The 27,939-nt window shown below is 39.5% G+C and overlaps 2 protein-coding genes and 1 pseudogene across 21 annotated transcripts in view, besides 2 other annotated features; all 3 read right to left on the bottom strand.

Annotated features, from left to right (window-relative positions):
* Positions 1-3,421, bottom strand: part of CATSPERT (catsper channel auxiliary subunit tau) — a 131,758-nt gene extending 128,337 nt beyond the window's left edge. For all 19 annotated transcript variants that reach the window (XR_007069662.1, XM_047443510.1, XM_047443509.1 and 16 more), the window contains exon 1: positions 3,143-3,421. Coding sequence is in view for 18 of the 19 variants with exons in the window: in XM_047443510.1 (XP_047299466.1) it covers positions 3,143-3,373 (231 nt within the window). In the remaining variant the exon portion in view is untranslated. The remainder of the gene's footprint in view (positions 1-3,142) is intronic.
* On the bottom strand, positions 4,429-27,746 carry TMEM237 (transmembrane protein 237). Of its 2 annotated transcripts, none has more exons than NM_001044385.3 (13): positions 27,602-27,746; positions 25,136-25,167; positions 24,504-24,508; positions 23,232-23,288; positions 20,991-21,128; positions 17,554-17,674; positions 16,294-16,451; positions 13,972-14,095; positions 13,473-13,664; positions 12,319-12,392; positions 11,564-11,657; positions 10,269-10,390; positions 4,429-8,565 (listed from the first exon to the last, which is right to left on the bottom strand). In NM_001044385.3, the coding sequence occupies exons 1-13, from the start codon at positions 27,641-27,643 to the stop codon at positions 8,498-8,500; spliced, it is 1,227 nt and encodes a 408-aa protein (NP_001037850.1). In that variant the 5' UTR covers positions 27,644-27,746; the 3' UTR covers positions 4,429-8,497. The 2 variants fall into 2 exon arrangements, with proteins under 2 accessions (NP_001037850.1, NP_689601.2); NM_152388.4 differs by lacking the exon at positions 27,602-27,746 and adding an exon at positions 26,852-26,913.
* ENO1P4 (enolase 1 pseudogene 4) lies at positions 7,060-7,498 on the bottom strand (annotated as a pseudogene).
* Positions 26,845-27,034: a silencer, noted in NCBI's record as "silent region_12234". NCBI's record gives its function as "represses an Ori minimal core promoter by ATAC-STARR-seq in GM12878 lymphoblastoid cells {active_cell/tissue: GM12878}" and the evidence as "EXISTENCE:reporter gene assay evidence [ECO:0000049][PMID:35858748]".
* Positions 27,605-27,864: a silencer, noted in NCBI's record as "silent region_12235". NCBI's record gives its function as "represses an Ori minimal core promoter by ATAC-STARR-seq in GM12878 lymphoblastoid cells {active_cell/tissue: GM12878}" and the evidence as "EXISTENCE:reporter gene assay evidence [ECO:0000049][PMID:35858748]".

The raw sequence follows: 27,939 nt of genomic DNA on the forward strand, positions 1-27,939 counted from the left end.
GAATCCAGGAGCTGGTTTTCTGAAAAGATCAACAAAATTGATAGATCACTAGCAAGACTAAGAAAGAAGAAAAGAGAGAAGAATCAAATAGACACAGTAAAAAATGATAAAGGGGATATCACCACCGATCCCACAGAAATACAAACTACCATCAGAGAATACTATAAACACCTCTATGCAAATAAAGTAGAAAATCTAGAAGAAATGGATAAATTCCTGGACACATACACCCTCCCAAGACTAAACCAGGAAGAAGTTGAATCCCTGAATAGACCAATAACAGGTTCTGAAATTGAGACAATAATTACTAGCCTACCAACCAAAAAAACTCCAGGACCAGACGGATTCACAGCCAAATTCTACCAGAGGTACAAAGAGGAGGTGGTACCATTCCTTCTGAAACTATTCCAATCAATAGAAAAACAGGGAATCATCCCAAATTTATTTTATGAGGCCAACATCATTCTGATACCAAAGCCTGGCAGAGACACAACAAAAACAGAGAATTTTAGACCAATATCCCTGATGAACATCGATGCAAAAATCCTCAATGAAACACTGGCAAACCGAATCCAGCAGCACATCAAAAAGCTTATCCACCATGATCAAGTGGGCTTCATCCCTGGGATGCAAGGCTGGTCCAACATATGCAAATCAATAAACATAATCCAGCATATAAACAGAACCAAAGACAAAAACCACATGATTATCTCAATAGATGCAGAAAAGGCCTTTGACAAAATTCAACAGCCCTTCATGCTAAAAACTCTCAATAAACTACGTATTGATGGGACGTATCTCAAAATAATAAGAGCTATTTATGACAAACCCATAGCCAATATCATACTGAATGGGCAAAAACTGGAAGCATTCCCTTTGAAAACTGGCACAAGACAGGGATGCCCTCTCTCACCACTCCTATTCAACATGGTGTTGGAATTTCTGGCCAGGGCAGTCAGGCAAGGGAAAGAAATAAAGGGTATTCAATTAGGAAAAGAGGAAGTCAAATTGTCCCTGTTTGCAGATGACATGTTTGTATATTCAGAAAACTCCATCGCCTCAGCCCAAAATCTCCTTAAGCTGATAAGCAACTTCAGCAAAGTCTTAGGATACAAAATCAATGTGCAAAAATCACAAGCATTCCTATACACCAATAACAGACAAACAGAGAGCCAAATCATGAGGGAACTCCCATTCACAATTGCTTCAAAGAGAATAAAATACCTAGGAATCCAACTTACAAGGGATGTGAAGGTTCTCTTCAAGGAGAACTACAAACCACTGCTCAATGAAATAAAAGAGGACACAAACAAATGGAAAAACATTACATGCTCATGGATAGGAAGACTCAATATTGTGAAAATGACCATACTGCCCAAGGTAATTTATAGATTCAATGCCATCCCCATCAAGCTACCAATGACTTTCTTCACAGAATTGGAAAAAATACTTTAAAGTTCATATGGAACCAAAAAAGAGCCCACATTGCCAAGACAATCCTAAGCCAAAAGAACAAAGCTGGAGGCATCATGCTTTCTGACTTCGAACTATACTACAAGGCTACAGTAACCAAAACATCATGGTACTGGTACCAAAACAGAGATATAGACCAATGGAACAGAATAGAGCCCCCGGAAATAATACCACACATCTACAACCATCCGATCTTTGACAAACCTGACATAAACAAGAAATGGGGAAAGGATTCTCTATTTAATAAATGGTGTTGGGAAAACTGGCTCGCCATACGTAGAAAGCTGAAACTGGATCCCTTCCTTACGCCTTATACAAAAATTAATTCAAGATGGATTAAAGACTTAAATGTTAGACCTAAAACCATAAAAACCCTAGAAGAAAACCTAGCCAATACCATTCAGGATATAGGCATGGCCAAGGACTTCATGACTAAAACACCAAAAGCAATGGCAACCAAAGCCAAAATCGACAAATGGGATCTAGTTAAACTAAAGAGCTTCTGCACAGCAAAAGAAACTAGCATCAGAGTGAACAGGCAGCCTACAGAATGGGAGAAAATTTTTGCAATCTATCCATCTGACAAAGGGCTAATATCCAGAATCTACAAAGAACTGAAACAAATTTACAAGAAAAAAACAAACAACCCCATCAAAAAGTGGGCAAAGTATATGAACAGACACTTCTCAAAAGAAGACATTTATGCAGCCAACAGACACATGAAAAAATGCTCATCATCACTGGCCATCAGAGAAATGCAAATCAAAACCACAATGAGATACCATCTCACACCAGTTAGAATGGCAATCATTAAAAAGTCAGGAAACAACAGGTGCTGGAGAGGATGTGGAGAAATAGGAACGCTTTTACACTGTTGGTGGGAGTGTAAACTAGTTCAACCATTGTGGAAGACAGTGTGGCGATTCCTCAAGGGTCTAGAACTAGAAATACCATTTGACCCAGCCATCCCATTACTGGGCATATACCCAAAGGATTATAAATCATGCTGCTATAAAGTCACGTGCACACATATGTTTATTATGGCACTATTCACAATGGCAAAGACTAGGAACCAACCCAAATGTCCATCAATGACAGACTGGATTAAGAAAATGTGGCACATATACACCATGGAATACTATGCAGCCATATAAAAAGGATGAGTTCATGTCCTTTGTGGGGTCATGGATGAAGCTGGAAACCATCATTCTCAGCAAACTATCGCAAGGACAGAAAACCAAACACTGCATGTTCTCACTCATAGGTGGGAATTGAACAATGAGAATACTTGGACACGGGGGGGGAACATCACACACCACGGCCTGTCGTGGGTTGGGGGGAGGGAGGAGGGATAGCATTAGGAGATATACCTAATGTAAATGACGAGTTAATGGGTGCAGCACACCAACATGGCACATGTATACCTATGTAACAAACCTGCACGTTGTGCACATGTACCCTAGAACTTAAAGTATAATAAAAAATAAAAAATAAAAATAAAAAAAAGGAATTGCTATAAACGAAAAAAAAAAGGATTAAAGGGTTCAATGTGTGCCAATTGAAGGGAGATGCAATTGGCACACATTGAACCCTTTAATCCTTTCACCACCCTCCAGGTGCCCTGCTGGCCCCGGTCCTCCAGGTGCCGGCCAGGCCCCCGCTCACTCACGTTCAGCAGCCGGTGCCCGGTGCCCTCCTGGTTCTTGTTCTTAGGCAGGGCCGTCGTGCCCTGGTTCAGGGCGTAAGGGACCGAAGAAGCCTCCGACCCTTTAATGTGCATGATATCCGGGCTGCTGTAGGGATTCCTCTGCAATAGCGGGGTGGCGGACAGGACTTGGACCTGCCCGCTGCGGTTATCAAGTGTGCTGAAAGGCCTATTTGTCTCTTGGGGTGGCTCCATCTCTCCATCTTCTGCGGCCTGTCTGCGCCCAACCGACGGCCCGCTACTGCGCAGGCGCGGCCCTCCCGCAGCCTTTCTCACATTTTCCCAGCGCGTGCGTGCCGCCTAGTGACCCACTCAGGCCGGGCCCATGCTGGGAGTGGCTGGAGGCAGCTTTGGAAGCATGCGTGCTTAGCGAGCCTGGAGGGTCTGCTGCAAGCACTTGCCAGGCCATTTCAGTCTCCTTTAGAAGGAAATCAGAGCACGCTGGTGGAGAGCAAGGCCCCTCATGGGGCCCAACCACTTTAGTTCACTGTCTTGTCCGCCCTGTAGCCCTCACGAGTCCTTTTCTCCCTGCACCATTTCTTTCTAGAAGATTTACAGTGTCAGTCATTACTTCCTCTACACTGTCCCGTGAGCTCCAGACGTTAAATATCCAACAGTCTACTTTGACATCTTTACCCAATTGTTCCACAGACACATAACACGTTAATATTCATCTTCCCTCTTAAACCTCTAGTAGGTTCCAAACTCATTTGGTGCAGCAATGTCATATCCACAAAATCTTAAACATTCAGACACATTTTAAAATTCTGACCCTAAATATCTGAATCTTACTTACCTTTTCCCTTTATGGCACCTAATTTGGGACAACACACACACGAGACAATTGCAATGATTTACTCATGGGTCTGCCAACCTGCTGTCATCCATCCCTTTCACTGCCCCCGTATTAGTCCTTTGCAGTAACGAATGGAGCTGAAGGCCATTATCCTAAGCAGACTAACACAGGAACAGAAAACCAAATACCACGTTCTCACTTATAAATGCGAGCTAAACAATGAGAACACATGGACACAAAGAGGGGAGCAACAGACACTGGGGCCTACTTGACGGCGAAGGGTGGGAGGCGGGAGAGGATCAAAAACTACCTTTTGGGCACTAGGCTTATTACCTGGGTGATGAAATAATCTGTACACCCCCATGACACAAAATTTACCTATATAACAAACCTGCACATGTACCCTTGAACCTAAAAGTTAAAAATATAAATAAATGCAAACAGAACAAAACCAGAGAATTCCAGAACTTCTTTATTGTACATAAAAATCTGAATTTCTTAATATGGAAACCAAAGGTCTGCAAAATGTACTCTCCTAGCTCAGGATCATTATTTATTCCTCTTATTTTTGGAATCTATTCTTCTTTTATTCAAGGACCAACTCAAAGGTCAGCTTTTAGTTAACTCTTATATCCCCATACACATATCCTAAAGGCAGAGTTAACTGCTATATCCAAGCTACTTCTTGGCATATCCTTGTCAGCCTAAATAACAGAGAGGGAGACTCTCTGAAAGAAAATGATGTTTATTCAGGAGTAGGCATTGCAATAAGAATACAAGTGCCACAGTAAACTATGTGCATATACAGGGAGGTCAAGGAAGACAACGGTTTTTAAAGCAAAAATGATTGTTTTGAGAGAATTATCCTTGGCTACAAGGATCAATAACAAGGATGTTGCCAGTTGGACATTGGACAGGGAGTTGCTGGGCAAATGTCCTCATAGAAGTATTTTTTGTGTGTGTCAGGTTGTGATGGCCTTTGTGCAAGGTGTGGTTTTGTGCAGTCTTTTAATGATAGTCCTCATTATCAGACATCTGTGCATGAAAATCGTCCTTTCACGGCCTTCCCCAGCTCTATTTGTTAGGATTTTTAACACAATGACCAGAACTTGATTTTGACAACTTTCACATCCTATTAGTGGGCTCACACTGTTAGTTGCTAATCTCAAAAGATAGAGTTCTTTAGGGGCAGGAACCTGCACCTCACCTTGTGCTCCTCAGAGTACATGGCCCAATATCCCAAGGCCCTTAACACATTTGTCATTATTTCAGATTTATACTATGTGGTGTGTTAATTACTGCACCCCATGAAACTTGCTGTCCAGCAGCTCACTCTGTTCTTAGGGTTCATGTTATGCAACATAAAGTACACAGCATCACAGATGAAGTCATATTTTTTTAAAAAATCTAATCAAACCACCAGACCTAACCTCCAGTCTATAGGAAATTCAGGAGATTGAGGAACAAATTAAGTGATGTCATTAGGAAAAAGTCAGACAATTAAAAAATGTAGGTGAGGCACTCTAAAGCAACTAGCTTGGACTCTTCAAAAAATTGTCATGGGAAATTAGAATGGTACCGCCAACTCTGGAAAACAGCTTGGCAGTTTGTAACTACATACAACCCATCAGTTTCACTCCTGGGCATTTATCTTAAAGAAATGAAAACTTAATGTTCACACAAAAACTTGCACATGAATGTCCACAGCAGCATTATTCACAGACTGGAATGAGCCCAGATATCCTTCAATAGGTCAATGAGTTAAACCAAACAAAACAGTAAAAGGAAATGAACTATTGATACACACAACAGCTGAGATGACTCAGAAAAAAAGAGATCAACAGAAAAAAAGCGAATCCCATAAAATTACATACTGTATGATTCAATTTATAACATTATTGAAATGACAGAGTTTTAGAAACTGAGCTCTTTGTACCTGGCCAAGGGCTCTGATCAGCAAGGTGCCCCTGTGTTATCTACCCAGTGCAGTGCTTCACCAGGATGGCAATAAAAGTATTTTAAGTCAGTGAGTAATGAGAAACCATGATGCCCTACCAATTGGACTGGATCAGCTTGCATGTCAATCTAGTCCACTGTAAGCTGGAGAAAGTTACATGAATTCTCATCGACGGCCTCAGCAATGTGCCTCAAGTGTCACTGTGAGATCATTCCCTGCTTCCTGGAGACATGCATTAGCAGTGAACTTCTTCCAAACTTCCCTGTCATCACAGTCAAACAATTTTTGAGACACACCAGAAACACCAGGGAAAACAGAGTCCTCTGTACAAGTCCTTAATCAGGGAATACTCAATGTTTTTCCCTGATGAAGGACTTGTACAGGGCCACTAGCTGCTCAGGTTTATATGCCTCCTGGGTCATTACGAGATCTGAAGTCTAAGTTGTACTTCCCAGACCTGGAAGAATACAAAGGCAACTATGCCCATGGCAGTTACATATTATCAATGTAGCCAGCTTTCCCAAGTGCATTCCACAGCAGCTCTAGCCTTCTTTATTCTCTAGGATATATAGCTTTCTATTGCTGCCATAAGCAATCACCACCAATTTAGCAGCTTAGTCAACATACACTTGCTATCTTACAGTTCTGTATGTCAAAAGTATGACATGGGCAGCACCAGGCCAAAACCAAGGTATCCACAGAGCTGCCTTCCTTTCTTGGCTCTAGGGGAGGATTTGTTTCCTTGCTCATTTGGGATACTCATAGAACTCAGTTCCTTGTGGTTATGTGACTGAAATCCATTTCCTTGCTCATTGTTGGCCAAGGGCCGTACTCAGCTGCAAGGTCATCACTCTCCTTGGCTCATGGCCCCCTCTTCCATCTTCAAAGCCAGCAATATCATAACTTCTGACCTCTCTGACCACAGACATAAAAGGCTTTCTTCTCTGCTTTTAAGGACTCATAAGATTACACTGGACCCTTCTGGATAATACAGGATAATGTCCCCGTTTTAAGGTTCATAACCTTAATCATATCTGCAAATCCCTTTGGCCAAGTAAAGTAGTATATTCACAAGTTCCAGGGATTAGGACATGGACATCTTTAGGAGACATTATGCAGCCTACCACAATCCCCCACATTGGCAGCAGCTTTCTCACATTTCTCTTTGATGACACGGCTCAAGTGTGCTAAGCCTTGGCTCTAACGAGCATGGCTTCCCTGAAGTTTGCTGACGGGGAAGATTATGAACTCCTATACTGCCAGCTTATTGCCAGATTGAGAACCATTGCTGGTCACAGTGAAAGCTGGAACTAGCAGGATGCCTTCAGAATTGCCAGCAAATTCACAATTCTGTGACAGCAGGGAGAATCCCTTTTCGGCAGCTCCAGCCTTACAAACAGCAAAAGAGATTCCCAGTATAATGTTCACTCCAAATTTAGACCTATTGTCAGGGTCAACTGTCTCTATCATCAATTTGTCAATCCTCTTCTGTTCTATAACATTCAGGTGCTTGCTAATCAGGGCAGGCTCAATAGTTTTATTGATGTGCTCAACAGCCTTTGAAACATTTTTTCCCATAGCTAGTCTTCTCCTCAACTTGAGCTTTAGGGTCTCATATACAACAGCTGAGGTACCATTGGATATAGTTCTGAAGAGATCTTTCCCAGTGCAGGACCCATCTCAAGAGGGGGATTTCCTGGAAAACCAGAAACCTCTCTGACAAAGAGCTGGAGAACAGAGATGGTGAATTTCTACTCCTATTTCTTGTCACTCAGAAAAAAGGGACAGAGGAAAGGGTACTGCAGATGTCAACTGGGAGCCCACAAGCTCACAGGTCTCTCCTTTATTCCCCTGAGCCTTGCCCTGCTCAGCCTCTTTTGCTACATAGATTTTTAAAATCTCCCTCTATGATCCTGATGTACAACCAGATATGAGAACCACTAGTACAGATTATAATGAGAAGCAACTTTTTAGTTACTTCTAGGTAAAAAATTTAGGTTATATAATTTTTCAAACAAAACATACATTCCCTTTTTATTGGTCATAATGTAGAGCATCTTTCAAGCTAAATTATATTATAATTATTACATGATACTCAATCACTAAGCCAGTTTCAGAAAAGACAAACTTCATATTTCAATTTATTCAGTAAGGGGAGGTCAAAAATGAAGGCTTTTTTCCCTTCTACCATATTCGCTAAATTTATGTTTAAACCTGATATATATTTTATAACACTATTTAAGTTATGGCTTTTTCTAAACCAGTGCTTTTTAAGGTAATAGTTATAAATACAACTGTTTTGAGAAAATAGGAAATAAACACTTTCACTTGCTGGTTTCTAGTTCATTATTCCCTTTGTCATTAAGATGATAATGCTAGACAAATTAATGTTTAGACATAAACAGCAAACACAATTTTAACATTTTTCATAATATTGAGAGATGTTTCAGTATTATATAATCAAAAAATCTATTACAAATACACATGTATACATCTTATAAAAATACATTTAAAAACAAAAATGGGACAAATACTGGGTCATTATTCCTCCAAAGGTGAGCTGGTATTATGAAGAGGCTTTGATTTCTTTCTCTTTATCAGGATATTCTTCCACCTCTGAGGAGAACATTAACTCTGGAGAAGAAAATGAACAGATCATACTTAAAATTGTTTCCCAGTACCTCCAACAGAGTTGTATAGCTTATTTATAAATAGTCCTTTAAAAAATTGACATAATATATACTAATAGAAAGCCCTCAAGTAAGATTTCTTGACAGTGAAATATGATTTAAAAGGTAAGCTGATAACAAATGTACAAGTTTTACATTTTAAAATATTTAAATTTTAAATTATAGACCCCTTAAAAGTAAAATGTAATAGAGACAATATACACAATCCTACCTGGAAATTTAAGTCACTTAGAGAATCAAAGATCATTAAACAGCTAAAATGTCTAATTCTACAGTGATCAGATCATCTGAAACATAGGGGACAGATACAGAGGAAGGACTTGGAACTAACAAGAGATGTGTGCCAGGATATTTTAAATGGGTCATCCCATTTAATCATCAAAACAACGCAAGAAGCCAGGTATTATCATCTCATTTTATACTTACTTTTTAAATCCACATGTTGTATGACTAACATGGCCTTAAAAGAACAGGATTCTGGAAATATTTAGACTGAATACTGCACAATCCAGATGCAGTTTTGATCCCAGCCACAATGTAGAATGTTATTAGCTGACATTTTCTACATTTAAACTATTACTTAGCATAGATGTTGGCGAAATTCTGCATGCTAAGGCTTCTGAGGCAGATAGGTTGTAAATAGTTGGTCAAATAAAAAATAAAATAATAACCAAGACCCAGAAAATATCCATAAAAGATGTTTGGCCAGGCGCGGTGGCTCACGCCTTAATCCCAGCACTTTGGGAGGCCGAGGCGGGCGGATCACGAGGTCAGGAGATTGAGACTGTCCTGGCTAACATGGTGAAACCCTGTCTCTATTAAAAATACAAAAAATTAGCCGGGCGTGGTGGCGGGCGCCTGTAGTTCCAGCTACTCGGGAGGCTGAGGCAGGAGAATGACATGAACCCGGGAGGCGGAGCTTGCAGTGAGCCCAGATCGAGCCACTGTACTCTGACCTGGGCGACACAGCGAGACTCCATCTCCAAAAATAAAAAATAAAAAAAAAAAGATATTCAAGGGTAAAACTGTTGAACATTGGCCAAGGAAACACAATTTACAATACAAATACTAAACAGTTCCTCAAGCAGCATAAAAGGTTAGCAGTTTGCTAATATGATGATTCTTCTTCAGGTGTTCCAAAAGGGGTCTGGGGACTAGAGATGAGTGAATCACTGCACACTGAGCATGTTAAAAGAGTACTAAACACTGTTAGCCAATGAACGGTTAAGAATTTGTACCAAATAGAGAAGGAAGAATAATTGACTTGAGTATGTGTCCGACAGAGAGGCTATGTAGACAAAGCATGATTTATTTCAAAATTCATCAGCAGGAGACTAAGAGAAGTGAAGAGCAAAGACTTTTTCTACATTACTTGAAGGGTTCCAAGAGAAGAAATACCTCCTGAAAATGCACAAGGGCCACAGAAGCCCCTCATTAAGTAGTTCCAGACTCAAGCCCTCCTAGACACTCCTCCCTGCTTCTCTTGGCATTCTGTTACACCACTTTATTTTCTCTCTTCTTGTATCATTTTAATTTAAATGTGTCTTTGTTATTGGAATATTATAAGCTATACCTATTAAAAGGAGGTTTATAAAACCATTATAGAAGATTTCAGGATATTCTTATGCTATTTTTTTTCTTTAATACCTTCACTAAGATCCATGCCTGGCCTATAAGACAAAAATAGCCAAGATAATCCAACCAGAAGAGCCACCACGAGATTCACCACAATCCATGGCTGGAGAATCTGTTCCTCAATTCCTGCTTCCCTAAAAATGTAGAAACACTCATTAGAAGTGCCTTCAGTTTGGTTCATATACACAAATATATCTATTTTATGAACTTTAAGAAAAAACAGCAGTCCTCTCCTAGAGAAATAACAAGTAAAGTGTGAAAGAAAATATAATTTCCCTGTAAAATATACCACATATATAATGAGAACAAGGGTTCAAAGGTTATTTAAACTCTGAACAGATCTGCTGTATACATTCATATAAATGCAAAGTTAGTATTCCCAAGAAAATTCTCTAAAAGTTTTCCTTCCAACTACCATGACATTAATCCTCAATAAAGTATCTTTGCTTTCTCTTTACCTAATGTCCCTAGCCACTCTCTCAAAAAAGACTACTTTTGGATGCTACGTGCAGCATTTGGGGAAAAAAAAAAAAAAAAAAAAAAAAGACTGCTTCTCTAAGTTTTATGAACTATAATCTCAGCCATCCTGTCAGCTTCATGGCTGGCCGCTGATCTGCAGATGTTGGCTCTCCCTGTTCCGCTCTTTCTAGCATTGCTTGGTTTTCTGAATCTATCCCAGCTACTCACTCCCATCACTGTTCTGGGATATGAAACTCCCTGACAGGGGGTAAGAATGCAGGGCTCCTTCCGTCCATCATATGATGACTTATTTTAGAACTATAACTTGGCTGGGCGCAGTGGCTCATGCCTATAATCCCAACAATATGGGAGGCCAAGGCGGGTGGATCACCTGAGGTCAGAAGTTCAAGACCAGCCTGGCCAACATGGTGAAGCCCATTTCTACAAAAATACAAAAATTAGCCAGGCATGATGGCGGGTGCCTGTAATCCCAGCTACTCAGGAGGCTAAGACTGCAGAATCGCTTGAACCCAGGAGGCGGTGGCTGCAGTGAGCCGAGATAGTGCCATTGCACTCCAGCATGGGTGACACAGCGAGACTCTATCTCGAAAAAAAAAAAAACTATAACTTGAAGATCTAAAACAGATTTTTAAAAGGAAGATATTTCATTAAAAATGCAGGTGGACATAACAATAGTTACCCATTAACCAAAGGAATAAGTATTTTCTTGCCATATATTTGGAAACAAAAACAGAGCCTTCATTATTTGCAGTTGAAAAAGAATGGAAGGATAAGAAAAGTTGCTGTTATTGCCATTAACAATTGCTAATGTCATTGTGAATTCTTACCAGAGGCTACCATTAACAGAAGAAGGTGTGTAAAGGTGGATTCTGTCACTTGTCATTTGCTGACTCAGAGATAGTATAAGAGCAGTAAAGTACACTGAGAAAAAGACAAATGAAATTACTAATAATTTTTAACAACCTGGTTTATTTTGAATTTATAGATTAATATCGAAAATAATCTATACTTTCATGACTGATGATATAAAAGAAATTTATTTGACCAAATAAATATATTTCAATAGGCCAGACATCCTTATATAAATTTTTGAGAACAATAGGTGCAGAAGGATCTTTTGAGACGTTCACTATTTCATCATTAGAACTGACAAGAACCTAGAACATCTTTTTAAAAGTTAAATGACTTGCTCAAGGTCCTAAAACTAGTTTTATTAATATTCTCAAAACTTAGAACAAAATGCATTCCAAATGATCAGAAAGATATAAAATATTGTTTGTTATTAAAAGGCCATACCCGCTGAATCTGTTTAATGTCAAGTAGAAAATACAAAAGTTAAAAAGTAAGTAATATAGTACAATAAATTAAGCTTTTCAAAGTTATTTAGATGAACCTCAATTGAAAAAATAATTCTATCAATATTATGCCTTTTATGTTTCTAATTACAAATTCACTGAACATCTATAGGTAATGTTTATAAGGAGCAGTAATACAACTTTTAAAAAAAATTATATTTATCCTGGTTCAAAATTATGGTATAACTGAAGTATTACACAGTTATCATGTTAAACTGCTTACTCACAGAAAGATGCTAAAGCTGTAGGATCCAGGGCCAAAAAATTTCGGATTGCTACTGATATTTTAGCAAAGTCAATCCTAGAAAATATAAAAGTTTCTTGTCACAGCGCAGTTGTAAACTTAACAAAACTTTACTTTCTTGACTATAGTTTTTTCCTTCTCTAGTCTAATGCTAGCACATATACTATTACTAGGTTTTAAGTAGCTACAGTGTATACTTAACACGCATGACAAAATTATCTAATTTACAAAGGCCACATAAAACATCTAACTAGACTACTTTGGACAACATTCCTTTGGGGTTAAAACATCCTAAAGAAAATTAAACTTGATCTATAAAATTTCATTAGTTTCTACCTCTTTCTATTACCCATATCATTGGGCTCTAACTCGGTGGATTTTTTTTAAAAGGGGCTAAATTGTGTTCCCAAAAAGATATGTTGAACTCCTAACCTGGAGTACTTATGAATGTGACCTTATTTGGAAGCAGGGTCTTTGCAGATGTAATAAAGATAAGATAAGGTCATTAGGATGAACCCTAATCCAGTATGACTGCTGTCCTTATTAGAATAGACACAGATACAGAGATACACAGGGGGAAAGTGCTGCATGACGATAGAGGCAAATATTGGAATGATGCATCTACAGCCAAGGAATGCCAAGGACTGTCAGCAACCACTGAAGTGAGGGGAAGGTCATGAAACAGACTCTCCCTCAGAGCCCTGGAAAAAGGAATCAACCCTGGCCACATCCTGATTGCAGACTGCTCGCCTCCAGACCCATAAGAGAATAAATGTGCTGTTTTCAGCCAGCCAGTGTGTGGTACTTTGTTACAGCAGTGCTAGGAGACAAATACAAATGCTCTGAGTTTCACCTATACCTGATTTAGATGACATTTAGGAACTTCTGAGTTGACTATATTTGGATGAAATTTTGGACTTATGAATTGATGCTGGAATGGGTGAAGTCTTTTGGGAATATTTTGTTTACAATGGTCTCATCCCCTCAAAAAAGAACAGAAGTAGACTGGCCTTAAAACTTTTTGAAGTAACATTGATACTCTATAATTCTATTTTGAAAACTATCATGGTCAGTGACACATTTTGCTCAGCATTTCCTCCTGAAGAAGTTAGACAGATCTGGAGTCATAGGCATTACCTGTCAAAAGCTGAAATTGTACTCAGAGCCAAAAGCAAGTACAGAAGACTCTGGAATGGATACGCTAGGGTCTTGTATTGTTGCAGAAGGTTTGAGAGGTTGGATAGCTGATCTCCTGCTAGAACATATATCACAACAATATTCCACACAGCACAGCCAGCCAAGAATCCATGAGAAAAGAGACCAATCATCCTGAATGGAAAAGGGTTTGATTATTATACATGAATTACTAAAGTAAAAAGCTAAAACATGTTTAAAATCTCTTCATATACAAGAATAAAATTCAACATTTCATGACAAGTAAAAGCAAGCTCTTTCTTTTTAGTTACACTGATAGGTAGATCACTCAATTCCAATAGGATGTTTAAAAAATATACCTACCTACCATTTTAAGTTGTGATTTCATTAATAATACTGAACAACCAAGAGGTTATTTTTTTCTTTAATTACAGAACTCAGTTAACATTTATTTTAAGAAAAGTCCAACAAAAGCAGCCACCTGAAAGCCCGGTGCACTGTAAGTGCCACATCTCTGGTGGTCCAGGAAGGCTTCACGTCCATTGACACATCTATGTTTTCTGTGGTCTTTATCAACTCTGAACGATCAGCAGCCTGGAATCTCCCTAAGAACACATAACGTAATTACTAACAACTAGCGAGAGAGAACCCTGGTAGCCATTTTTTTTTTTAAATTCCATACTCAGGAAGCCGCAAACTAAGACTGAAATATTGCTGTTCTATCTGAAAATTCTCCTTGACTCAGTACCTATTTCAGAAGGATCTTTTCTTGGGGTTCCTTAAACATAATTTTTCATCTTGAAGAAAAATAAGCGATGTCAGTGTATTTTCTTCTCAATCCAAAGTGAAGTAACAATTTCAGAAATCAATTATATTTAATAAAAAAAAATGAACTTTCAACTCAGAATAAAGTCTAGAAATCTTTAACATGACCTAGTCTACAAAATTCTAATTTAGAGACTTTAGAAGTATTAAAGTTTATATGCCTATACTATCAAGGTAAGTCAATATTTGAAAACTACTTTAAATTTCTTAGGAAAAGATGTCAGGATGTGTAGCATGGCTTTCTGGGATGACAGGAAAGAAATAGGCTGCTTCATAAATTTCTCTTTAGAACATTCCTGTGAAGAACATCAGTTCAAAAGTCAGCACTGCAATATTGTATGAGCAGGGCTTTAGCCTTTTTACTGTTGATTCAGAGGCTCCTTCTTGTATATCTAGTAATCCACAAATAGACCTCAGGAAACAGGAAAGGTTCCATTTCAATTATCCTCACCAAACCCAGTTCGCAGGTGTTTTGGAGGATGAAAGACAGGGGTGTGACAATTTTCCCTAAGAAAAGACAACTTCTGGGCAGACAATAGAACCACTGGTACCTTTTATGGCCAGTTACTCTAGCAGGGAAATTTCTATGCTAAGTGAAGCAAGAATAAAAATGAGGATTAAGTGATACTGCTTGAAAAAGAACTGCGGTAATTTAAATGACCACGTGGTAGATGAATAAAACCATGTGACTAGAAGTCATAAAACCACAGTTCAAGTCCCAGTTCCACCCTAACCAAACTGTGAGACACTGGGTAAGTCAGCCTCTCTAGACCACAGGTTTCTTATTGGCCAAGAACTGCAAGATCCCTTAAATGGGATCTTCTGAAGTAGGGTTCTAAAACAAGGTACACAAAATCTAAATTGTAAATTTTAAGGACTAACCTTTATGTTTCAGATGAGTTCTTTAGGCAGCATATGCTTAACATATCCATGGTAGTATATAGTCATGATCATGCTTTGAGTAGGTTTTTCTTAAACACTGTGTTATAGACGGAATGCGTCCCCCAAAAATTCATATGTTGAAGCCCTAACCCCCCAGTGAGTGCGAGGTCACTGGGAGGTAATTAGATTTCGATGAAGTCATGAGGATAAAGCTCCCATGATGAGATTATAATCCTTTTAAGAAGAAGAAGACACACCAGAGCTCTCTCTGCCACATGACGACACAGTGGCAGCTGTCGGCAAGCCAGGAAGGGGCCTTCTCCAGTAACCTAATCTGCTGGAACCTTGTCTTGCACTTCCTAGCTTTAGGAACTATGAGAAATAAATGTCCGTGGTTTAAGCCACTTAGTCGGTGGTATTTTGTTATAGCAGCCTGAGCTAAAATACACTGCAAACCTAGTATACATTATACAATGTCACAACTATCTTGCAAAAGAATATACAGCTATAATGTTGTATTTCTTATTTAATATGGTAGTATCATCATGTATTTTCTCTTATTGTCAATTGTAGAATTTATATTATTATCTGTCCCACCACAACTACTACCAATTGCAGCAAACTGGTAAAGTACAAGAAAGAATAAAGAATCAGGCAGGGGTGGGGAAGATCTTTACATTGCCCATAACCCCATAAATCCAGAAACAACCAGCATTAATATTTGAGCCTATTTCCTTCAAGTCTTTTGTCCTATGCATAGATCAAACTGTGTGTGTGTGTGTGCACATGTGTATATGCTCATTTTTTATCAGAATCTTTCCATAAAATGAAAAATTCTCCCTAAACATTATGTTTAATGGTGAAGAACATTATTATATAGATACACCACAACTTACTGACATTATTCCTCTCCTATTTCACATTTAGGTTGTTTCCAGTTTTTCACTCTCATGAATCATAGCATGATGACCAGTTTTGTGTATAAATTGTTGTACACAGTTTTGCTTAATTCCTTAATTCAGATTTCCAGAAGTATAAAGGATATCCTTGGACAATTTTTAAAGAGTTCATATTCTAAAACAAGGCATCTACTTACGGCTTTTTTCCACAAATACTTTGCCTACAGGCTGGCTAATGCCAGTGGGTGCAGTGAATACAGACTGCTGTTCCACAGTAGTTTGCTCATCAGTGATTATGTCTTCATCTTCTACTCCTAGCTCATTGGCATACTGTAATTCTGCTGGCTGGGTTTTCCTGTAATAAGGACGTATGTATGAAAAATAGATGATTATTGAATTTTTTACAGACTTACATAAGGAACTAGCTATAAATATAATGGAAAGGGCCCTGGACTTGGAGTTAAGAAATGTGGTTTTTACTCAAATAAATCGGTTATTAACTATTATGTGCAGCAAGTTACTTACATTTCTGAGGGCTTCAGTTTTCTCATTTGAAAATTGAAGTGACTGAACTAGATCTGTAAGCTTCTTTCCAAATTTAAAACTGTATGATTCTGTATAGATACTGATAAGGTTTGGCTATGTCCCCACCCAAAATCTCATCTTGAATTGTAATAATCCCCACCTGTCAAGGGACTGTTCTGGTGATAGTGAGTTCTCAGGAGATCTGATCGTTTTGTAAGGGGCTTCCCCCTTCACTCAGCTCTAATTCTTCTCCTTCCTGCTGCCCTGTGAAGAAGGGTGTGTTTGCTTCACCTTCCACCATGATAGTAAGTTTCCTGAGGCACCCCCAAGTCATGCTGAACTGTGAGTCAATTAAACCTCTTTCCTTTATAAATTATCCAGTCTCGGGTATGTCTTTATTAGTAGTGTGAGAACGGACTAACACAGACATTGATCACTATTTGTAGGTTCATTTTCAAATACAAATAATAGTGCTATATATATGACTTCCAGTGTTATTTCTTTAAAGTACACTACTCATTTTATCTTAATGCTAAAACCCAGTTTTACTTATTCCTAAAATAATCATAATTTGAATTCTGTTAACATAAGAAAATAAATCACAATAGCCTATTTCATTATCTTTAATTTTTAAATATCCTTAATGTTTAATTTTGCTACTTATATATTCTATTTGTGTTCTTCTTTTTTAGAGATGGCTCTTAAGTTTTTTTATTTAAGTACAATCTTAATTTTTTTTATTTTCTCAGTGGTTTACTCTTCTGAAATTTATCATTCGATTGGTTTAACTGATTTTTTGTAATAATACTTATCCTAGAGGTACACAAATACAAGTATGTAATAAGACTTAATGAGAAGCTACTGCTTCGGAGCTCCAAACAAAGCATCAGGGTAATCCTGGAGAATAGTTAGAAGAATAAATAAATTCCTACTTTGTCTTCCTCCGAGGTTTTTGAATAACTGCCTCCTCAGCTGGCTCCGCATCAATACCATTTTCATTTCGTAATAAAGATGAACTAGATGACTTCTTTTGGGTGGAGGAAGTCTCCAATTCTGAAAACAAAATAAATTTAACTTTTCAAATAACTAAAACATAAAAAGAAAAGTAATGTACAAGACTTGTATAAGAGAAAAGAACTTCAAGAATTTTAATTGGGCAAAAATGTTTTCACTATCTTACAAATTTTTAATTTTTTAAAAATGTTATACTTCTAAACTCTCAATGTAAAAATTGAAATTGTAATGCCAAACAATATGGAAAAAAATTAAGTAACCCAATACCCAGGCTGTGCTGAAGATTCCCAAGATTATCTCCTGGTTCGCTGACTTTCTAGAAGGGCTCACAGGACTTGGAAATCATCACACTCACAATTATGGTTTACTACAGCAAATGGATATAAAGCAAAATCAGCAAAAGGAAAAAGTACATGGACCAAGTCCAGAGGAAACCAAGTACAAGCTTCCAAGAGTCCTCTATCAGTGGAGTCAAATAGGATGTACTAACATTACTGGAGAGTAATGAGTTGTGACAACACATGTGACACATGTTGTACAAAAGAAGCTCATCAGAGACAGTGCCCAAGGTTAGGGGCTAGTCACATAAGCCTAGCACATACCAAAATTCTGGATGCCCGGAAGGGAAACAGATGTTCAGCAAAAATCACTATGTGTGCACAAATGCACCGTGAGTCACCTTATAATTTAGGGAAAGTTTTCTATCAGTGTAGGGAGCTGTTTATCATCCAAGTTCCCAGATGCCAGCTAACGGCCAATCTTATCAGCAGGCTTTTCCAAGGATAGCAGTCTCAGGTCTGCTATATTAACTCTTTTCTGCACACAGGGTAGGTATTAAGTTTAAATGAGTCAGTGAAGCCTTCTTCTAATCCACTAGCTACTCTTCCTACCTGGAAATACTAGCTCCCTGGAATACCTTCAAGACCTTACAATTCTATTGTAATAAAATACTTACAGCCTCGACTGGAAATATAATGCAAGCAGTAGAGCCTACCATTGGTCATCCTGAACAAAATAAATAAAAACACAATTTTTAAATCCAGAAACTTAGAAAGGTGAACCTGCCAGGCTTGGTGTACTTTGGAATGGCAATGACAGGTCCTTTTTGATTCAAAACTTAGTTGGGTCCTGAATTTTCTAAAAAAGTCATTTCTGTAAACACACTTTTCACAAATTATAAAACTAGGTATTGGTATCCATCTTGATTTTTAAACTTGTATCTTAACTAAATTACTAAAAGGGCACTTTTAATGAAACTACATTTACTGCCACTAATGAAATAAACTGTAGAGTAGTTAAAGCTAGTCTGAGCACCATTTCTGTCTCTTTTCCTTCTTCTGCCATCATCCGCCCCTTCGTTCTCATAGACCCTCAGTGCCCCCAGGCACTGTGGCATCCCACTTCAACTTGCCTTCCAAAATTATGCTCCATTCTCCTGACTTTTCTAGTTCCTGCCCTTCTACTCCTATAATTCTTCCATCCAATCAAGACACGCCGTTTTCTAGAAGGACAAGTAATTAGGAAAATTATAATAAATTATTAATAAGGGCTGATGTTAATAGGAGAGCACTAATCTCCCCATCTTTGTTCCTTCCCTGAGTTTTGCTCCAATACAACTCTTTGTCATTTTTCTAATTATTATAAAAGTCATAATGCTCAAAATATAAAAAATTAGTAAAATAAATGAAGGAAGAAAATTTTAAAAATCATACTTCCTCCTTCTAAAACTTCTACCACTGTAACACTGCTATATTCTTCCATTCTTTTTACTATGTAGATGTATGTACATATTTACGTTCTGGGTTGAACTGTGCTCCAAAAAGAGATATGTTCAAGTCCTAACTCATAATACCTGTGAGTGTAACCTTATTTGGAAACAAGAGTCTTTGCAGATGAAATCAAGTTAAGATGAGGTCATGCTAGATTGGAATGGGCCCTAAATCCAACAACTGATATCCTTATAAGAGGGAAATGTGGACACAGACACACAAGGAAAAATGTGAAGATGGAAGCAGAGATTGGCATTATGCCACCACAAGTCAAACAATGCCAAGGACTGTCAACAACCATAAGAAGCTAGAAGAAATGGCCAGGCGCGGTGGCTCACACCTGTAATCCCAGCACTTTGGGAGGCCGAGGTGGGCGGATCACCTGAGGTCAGGAGTTCAAGACAAGCCTGGCCAACATGGCAAAACCCTGTCTCTACTAAAAAATACAAAATTAGCCGAGCATCATGGCAAATGCCTGTAATCCCAGCTACTCAGGAGGCCGAGGCAGGAGAATCGCTTGTACCCGGGAGGCAGAAGTTCCAGTGAGCTGAGATCGCACCATTGCACTCCAGCCTGGGCTATAAGAGTGAAACTCCATCTTAAAAAAAAAAAAAAAGAGGCTCGAAGAAACAAGGAAGGATTCTTTTCTAGAGACTTCAGAGGGAGCATAGTCCTGCAGACAACTTGATTTTGGACTTCTCACCTAAGAACTATGAAAAAATAAACTGTTGTTTGAAGTCACACAGTTTGTGGTAATTTGTTATGGCAACCCTAAGAAATTAACATAGTATATTTTACAAAAATGGGATCCTCCAATACATACTATTTTATAACCTTTGTTCTTTGATTTAATAATACACAACTGATGATTATCTGTGTCACCCTAACAATCCTTTTAATGGGTACCTGGTTCCTATTTATGGATGAAGTATGATTTATTTAGCCAGTATCACACCGTTAAATATCTGGGTCATTACCAATTTCTACTCTTATAAATAACGCTGCAGTTAACATCCTTTAATTACTGCAGCTATTGAATTTACTACTATTCCCAGAAATCCAGACAGGCTGTATCTATGCTCCTATGAGCAAAGCATGAGTGCACCCATTTCCCATCAATATTGGATTTTATAATTTGAAAAAAGCATTGCCAATTTGATAGGCCAAAAAATGGTATAGTATTTTATTTACCTTGTGAACTGCCTGGGACATAGAAAGACTAAACAAATGTTAGCTGTTGTTTCACTATATTATTGTTAGTACAGAATCTACCATTTCCCCACTAATCTGAAATGTCCATTTCATCATTTACTAGATTTTTCTATGCACTGAGATCTGAACTTTCTGTTTAGTCCTGTATTTGTTGCCCTCCTCTCATAATCTATACATATATGATCAAAAGAGACCTGTAAAGTATTCTTGGCTTAAGCCATTGGAGTTATTCTAGTGGTAAATATTTTAAACATAAAAGCAAGAAACCACCTGTGGGATATGGATAGGGGGAAAGAAATGAAAGCAGAGAGGTTTTTATCATGTCATCAAAATCACAAGTGCTATCACAACTTAACCTTGGTTTCTTCACATACCAAGAGGTAGCCTTGTCTTTTTCTGTCTTCTTTGAACAGGAGCCTCTGGGTGCTCTTTGAGTTCTTTAGTTGATGGCTCATTGCCCTCAGAGGGCCTTCGACCAGCAGTCTGAGCAAGGCCTTCCAAAGAAGCACTTGCTATAGAAAAACAGAGTAGAAAAAAATGAGATTACTTGAGCAAAGATCACTGAATCTTAAAAAGATGGAGGAAAAGGTAACTAGAATGTTTCCTATAGAATAACCCCATCTCTTTCAGAACTAATTATCCCCCAAATCTTTCCTTCCTCCTCACCTGTAACTTTGGGCTTTAAGTTAGGAAAAGAAATAAATGAAGGAATAAGAAAGGCTGAGGAAGAAAAAACGAGGGGGCTAAAAAGAAGAGCAAAAGACAGGAGGAGGAGAAATTGCTTCAGAACATTTAGAACTTTGAAAAAGGTGGAAAACATAATAAAAACTGATACCATAGAGAATTCTCTTACTTGCCTCTTGCCTTAAGAATTTTCATCAGCCTCTATATAGTAAAGTCCTTCATTAATAAGTTAAAGAATAATAAAGTCATCATGGATAATTGGAGTTAGCAGGTAATTTATAAGTCTCTTCATTTGGTCATTCACTTCAACTTCTTCCCTCATGAAATCTTTTAAAAGAATTTTAACACATACCTGACTGCATTCCCTTCCTTGCTTGTCTTCTTCACAAAAGAAATAGAAATTGCACTGGGTGCAGTGGCTCATGCCTGGAATCCCAGCACTTTGGGAGGCCAAAGCAGGCGGATCACATGAGGTCAAGAGTTCGAAACCAGCCTGACCAACATGGCAAAACTCCCTCTCTACTAAAAATACAAAAATTAGCCGGGTGTAGTGGCATGCGCCTGTAGTCCCAGCTACTCAAGGAGGCCGAGGCAGGAGAATCGCTTGAACCCAGGAGGTGGAGGTTGCAGGGAGCCAAGATCACACCATTGCACTCCAGCCTGGGCAACAGAGCAAGACTCCGTCTCAAAAAAAAAAAAAAAAAATAGAAATGTATCAATAAACAAATGAAAATGTTTAACCTCAGTAGTACATAGAGAAATGTAAACTAAAATAAGCTACTTTTCCCCCACTAAATTAACAAAAAAATTTTAAAGATTGATTATTGTCCAATGTTGTTAAGGATTTAGAGAATGAGACACTCTCAGACTCTACAGGTAGCAAGATAATAACTAAAGCTTCCTTAAGGTAATTTAGCAGAGTCAGTCATACTAATAATGCACACATCCTGCACCTAGCAATTCCACTGCTAGCAATCCATCCTACAGAAGTACTTCTTCCCTACCACCCACTATTTTATGCAGAACTGCAACATTGTTGGAGTGAAAAATTGGAAATAACCTAAATAAATAACAGAGCAGTGATTATGGTACATTCTTATCATGTAATACAATGAAGTCACTGTTTAAGAATACATAGAACTCTATGTATTAAGAAACAAAGATAGTATGTATGATTCCTTTTATGTTTTTGTTGTTGTTTGTTTGTTTTAAAAAAGGAGCAGCAACCACAGAAACCTTTTAGGAGTGTGAGAGGTCTCAAGTAAAGAGTGAAGTTAAAGGATCAGGTAAAGATAATCTTGAGGTTTCAGGCCTGAGGGCTGGGAAAATGGTAGGTTCCATTAACAGAAAATCATGAGACGTAAAAAAATTATTTATTCTTAAAGGCAACGATGGATTCTAGATGTGCTGAGTTTAGAGTTACGGATGCAACTTCCAGGATTATCAGTGGATGACTAAGACAAAAACGAGTTCTGCTCATGACTGAAGCTTTACTATTTAAATGATGATGTGGCCATGCCTTCAGACTCATGCTGTAATGTAGAGATATTCTGATTGAAGTGAGATTTAAGAACTCTGTGTTTCTAAATTCAGTATCTTGTTCAAGGGTCTGGAATCAATCATAGCTTAAAACCATGTATGTTGTCTGGGGATAAAAGACCTTAAAGAGTCCAGGAATATCATGGAAATAGGAGCTTAGATGGCACCACCTTCTATTCCATGAATGCGTCCAGATACTCCTCAGGCTGCCCACTGCCCTGTACCTCACCACCACCAGGAATTCCACTGCTTCAAACTGGCCTTAATTCTATCCTCAATGAAGTGGAGATTCGGGGCTGCTGGGGCCTTAATTCTCCCTTATCTGTGATGTTTACTACGCCTGAGGTCCTGGGAAAACTTGTGATCCCACACAACAAAGAATAACGTCTTACCTGGTGTGTTTTTTGTTCTGGGCTTCTTTTTCTTAGGACGACTAAGTGGAATATCATCTATAAAGCAAGAAAAAACGTCAACAGAAAAGGGTGCCTAAAATTCAATGCAGAGAACAGTCAGAAGAGAACTTTTAAACAGGGAAGAATTCTCCCTCTCTTCCCTGGGCCTGGCAAACGTTTATAGATTAGGGGAAGAAGGCAAGAAATTGAGAAGATCAGAGAGAGCCCACAGTGTGGTACCAGTAGCACACTGCATGTCAGTAATGTTAGAAACCATGACACAGAAAGTGGGTTCAACAAATATTCATCTGATCCCCTATATTTCCCAGCCTCCTTGCACATAGGTGTAGTCTATGACTGGTTCTGGCCTATAGGCTGTGAGCAGAAGTGATCTGTGTCATTTCAGAGCCAAACGTTGAAAGAGCCAGTGAGTAATCTTCCAGCTTTCTCTTCCCTTGTTGTGGTGACTGAGGAAGCCTCATGTTAAGATGGTGGGACCACAGCACAGAAGTAGCCTAGATTGCAGACCAGGCGCAGTGGCTCACACCTGTAATCCCAACACTTTGGGAGGCCAAGACAGGCAGATCACTTGAGCTCAGGAGTTCGACACCAGCCTGGCCAACATGGCAAAACCCTGTCTCTACTGAAAATACAAAAAGTAGCTGGGCATGGTGGCACACGCCTGTAATCCCAACTACTCAGGAGGCTGAGGCAGGAGAATGACTTGAACCCAGGAGGCAGAGATTGCAGTGAGCCGAGATCACACCACTGCACTCCAGCCTGGGCAACAGAGTGAGACTCTGTCTCAAAACAAAAGAAAAAAAAAAGTAGCCTAGATTGCTATATCAATAGTAAAAAGGTAGTGAAAGGTAATGGTCCCCCATTTTTGCCATAGCAGACTTTGTATTAATTAGAAATAACCCTGTGTGACACTAAGTCACTGAGATTTGGGGGTTTTAGTATAGTATAACCTTGTCTACCCTGACTAAATGAGACAAAGGAAGGTGCAGTCCTCATTATAGAGCTACAAATTAGCCAACAGTTATGTGCTGGGTGACCCCATTCAGGGATGAAGTGCTTTTATAATGGAAAGGTCATCTAGTGCTATGTATCAATGACAATTTTTAAATGGTAGTCATGGGAGATTATTTCACAAAAACATATTGTAGAATTACAAATTACACCATTCAGACTCAGTTTTAAGAGAAACAAACCAAGGAATCAAACTAATTTTTGAACACCAAATATTATATTTACATTAAACTAACTCACCTTGACTAACACGTCATATAACACCAAACAAATTTAATCAGCAGGACAAAGACAAAAAAGAAACAATTAATTAGAAACCTGTTAATATTCACAGTGAAAATTGACTTAAATCATTACAAATTTAAAATAAAATTAGCTTTCACATAATAGCTAGTTTACAAACTAGTTTACTGTTTATAATTAAGTGGTTTAATAACACTGCTAATAAAATAATGTCAATATTTTCTGAACCTACATATACATATTCCCTACTGTCTATTAATAAAATGGATTAAGCAGATTAAGAACTCTTACTTGTGACTGATTAAAATCAGCTTAAACTCTGAGGAAACTATTCTCACAAAAGACCAGAATTCTGATTTAAAAAAAAAAAGACACCAAAACAGTTAGAAAGGGAATGGATCCATTATCCTACCATGTTGATATTCAGGCTTTTAAATATAACATTCCATTATAACTGTTATTCTTAAAATTCAAGGATTTTTCACCTTTAAAATTTCAGAAAATCCCTAAATTTTTCAGAAGAGTTTCCTGAATCATTGTAATTTTGCAATGATACTAGTCAATTTTTCCACTGTCTTCATTTTCCATTTTTAAAGCTCAATAATGAAATTACTGTAAATTATTTTTACCTTGGCACAGGTGGAAGAGCTCGTGGAGGACGCTGTGGCGGAAAAAATAAATTTGCTTGTAAGTAAAAGCCTAGAGCATCTTTACTTCAAATACCATCACGCTATTTTTTTTTTTTTGAGATGGTGTATTGCTGTGTGGCCCAGGCTGGAGTGCAACGGCACGATCTTGGCTCACTGCAGCTTCCATCTCCTGGGTTCAAGCAATTCCCCTGCCTCAGCCTCCCAAGTAGCTGGGATTACAGGCACCCACCACCATGCCCGGCTAATTTTTGTATTTTTAGTAGAGACGGGGTTTCACCATGTTGGCCAGGCTGGTCTTGAACTCCTGACCTCAGGAAATCCGCCCACCTTGGCCTCTGAAAGTGGTGGGATTATAGGAGTGAGCCACTACGCCCGGCCAAAGCAATTCTTTCAAAAGTCTGTTGTTCAGACATGACAGAAAAATATAATGGATCAGACTAGGATCTTCAAATCTCTTGATAATCTTGTTCATCAGTGAAACCTGGGAGGTACTGATGAGAAACATGGGCAATTTAAAATTTGTTCTCCCATCCTAAATTTCATATAAAATTCCTTCCTTCCTACATTCCTTTCCATCTCTAGGCCAGGCCCTTTTCTAAGCATTAGGAATACACTAATGAACACAATGGAGAGAACTCTGCTCTTATGAAACTTACATTCTAGTGGTTGAGTATTAGAAACAATGTTAAAAATATATATATGATAATATATACTATATATTATATGCAGCATGTACGATAAAATATATTTATATGCTATATTTAAGACATATCTTGTATACATATCGTGTGTGCATATATATATATATACACAAGATACACACACACAAAACGTAATGAATGAAGGAGACTGAGTGCTACTTTTGTTAGGGAAAGTTTCTCTGAGTTTGAGCTGAGACCTGAATGAGAAAGCAGCAACCGGAACAAATGCAAATATTTTTAGGTTAAATTGGGCTTGGAATGTTTCAGGTAAAAGGACAGCAAGGCTGCCGCACAATTACCAAGGAGAGGTAGGCAGGAGCCAGATTAGTTAGGGCCTTGCAGACCAAGGGAAGTTTGGATTTTGTTTTAATTCAATGGGAAACAAATGGAGGTTTTAAACCACATACTAACACAATTTTTAAAAAGGCCAGTTGCATACACTGGGAAGAATGCGTTTTAGGGCAGAAAGAAAGGTGGGGGGAACCCTTCTAAACCCTCATTTACATGAATAAGAAAAGTGTTTGTAGTTCAGACAGCATTACAGTTGAGAAGTATTTTAGAATCATATAGTAACAGAAATGCCTAGAAGCCAATTTAATGTTCCAAGTATCTCATGCTGCTTGCATAAGACATTTATTCAAAAGGGTTAAATTTTAGACACTCTTGTAGTTTGTCCCATTTAGCAATCCATTCGTTCGAACAGTAGATTAATGCAAGTACTACAAGATTAGGACGAGGCAAGCTGCCGTAATACCATCCAGTAGTCAAAATTACAATTGGAGAAGAATGACAGTCACAGGAACGCGCTATTGTTCTAAAGATGCTACGAAGCGCGCGCGATCGATCCCAGGGCTCTGTTCACGTAACTGATTTCAAAAGTCCCGCAAAAATGACGTTCCACCCACCCAGAGACCCAACCTCTAATCCTCAAAAGTAGGACGGCTCAACTGAAGACAAAAATCCTAACAATTAAAAGTAGCTAAGGCTCGCTTACCACAGGATTCTTCCCCATTCTGCGTTTAGCCGGCCTCGGCGGCCGCCGGCCCCCAAGCACCTGGCGCCCCACCCCTCCCGGCTCGGTCGCGCGCGCAGGCGCAATGCGTCATCGGGCCGCGCCGCCTGGCTAGTACCCCGCGCGCAGCGCCCTGCGGGGATGTTGCGGTGAGAGGCGTGCAGGGACCTGGATTGGCCAGTCCAGACTAGCCCTGCCAAAAAGGGGGCCTCGGAGTTGGGGGTAATGTGCCCAGGAGCAGAAATCTGGCGACCGTGGCGCTGCAATCACAGCTTTCCCGTGGTTTCCTAAGTGGTGGCGGTGATTTGTTTGCGGGAAGCGGGGCGTGACGGAAGACCTTAATTAAAGGACTCCGCAGGCGAACAGATCTCTTCTGGGCAGCTACAGACCTCTCCTCGGAGGAGTCTAGGAGAGGCCTGGCTGGAAGCCCCGGCACCCGCCGGGCCCCGGGCCTCAGATGAGTGAGGCGTCGTCGTGGCAACGCGGGCTCAGGTCCCCGCAAACTTCATGCCAGGCCTCTCTCTCCCACTCCGGGAGTTCGGTCCCGGCCTCGCCTGCGTCTCCGTCCCATTCCTGTGAACACTGGAGGGGCGGATGCGCGCACCCCACGAGCAAGGCCCTCCCTTAGTGATTCCCAGCTCGTTGGCGCCCCCCCACACACACCCACCCCCACTGCCAAGTGTAGCTGTTTACCCGCCACCTCTCGAGGCCGACGCGCCCCTCGCCGCTCACCAGGTGGCCCTCCTCCAGCCGAGCCCCCGAGTCAGTCCTCATGGTGCTCTCCCCGCGGGGCTGCCCCGGCGCAACCGCCGGCGGCCCGAGCCCAGCTCCCCGCGACGCAGCGGCCTCCGGGACCTGTGGGACGCCGGGGCTTCGTGGCGCCTGGCGAGGCAGCCGCCCCCTGAGCCAGGTCCCCGCCCGCCTCTGTCCTGCCAGGCGCTGCTGGGTTTGGGAGGAATGCGTTTACTCTCCAGGACCAACGAGTCTGTGCAGGCCTGGGTGTGTGGATGTGTATTAATATAGGCAATTCTCACATTTTCTCCGATTGCTTACCCTTCATCCCACAACTG

The sequence above is a fragment of the Homo sapiens genome, chromosome 2 (assembly GCF_000001405.40).
Source record: "Homo sapiens chromosome 2, GRCh38.p14 Primary Assembly".
Classification (NCBI taxonomy): Eukaryota; Metazoa; Chordata; class Mammalia; order Primates; family Hominidae; genus Homo; species Homo sapiens.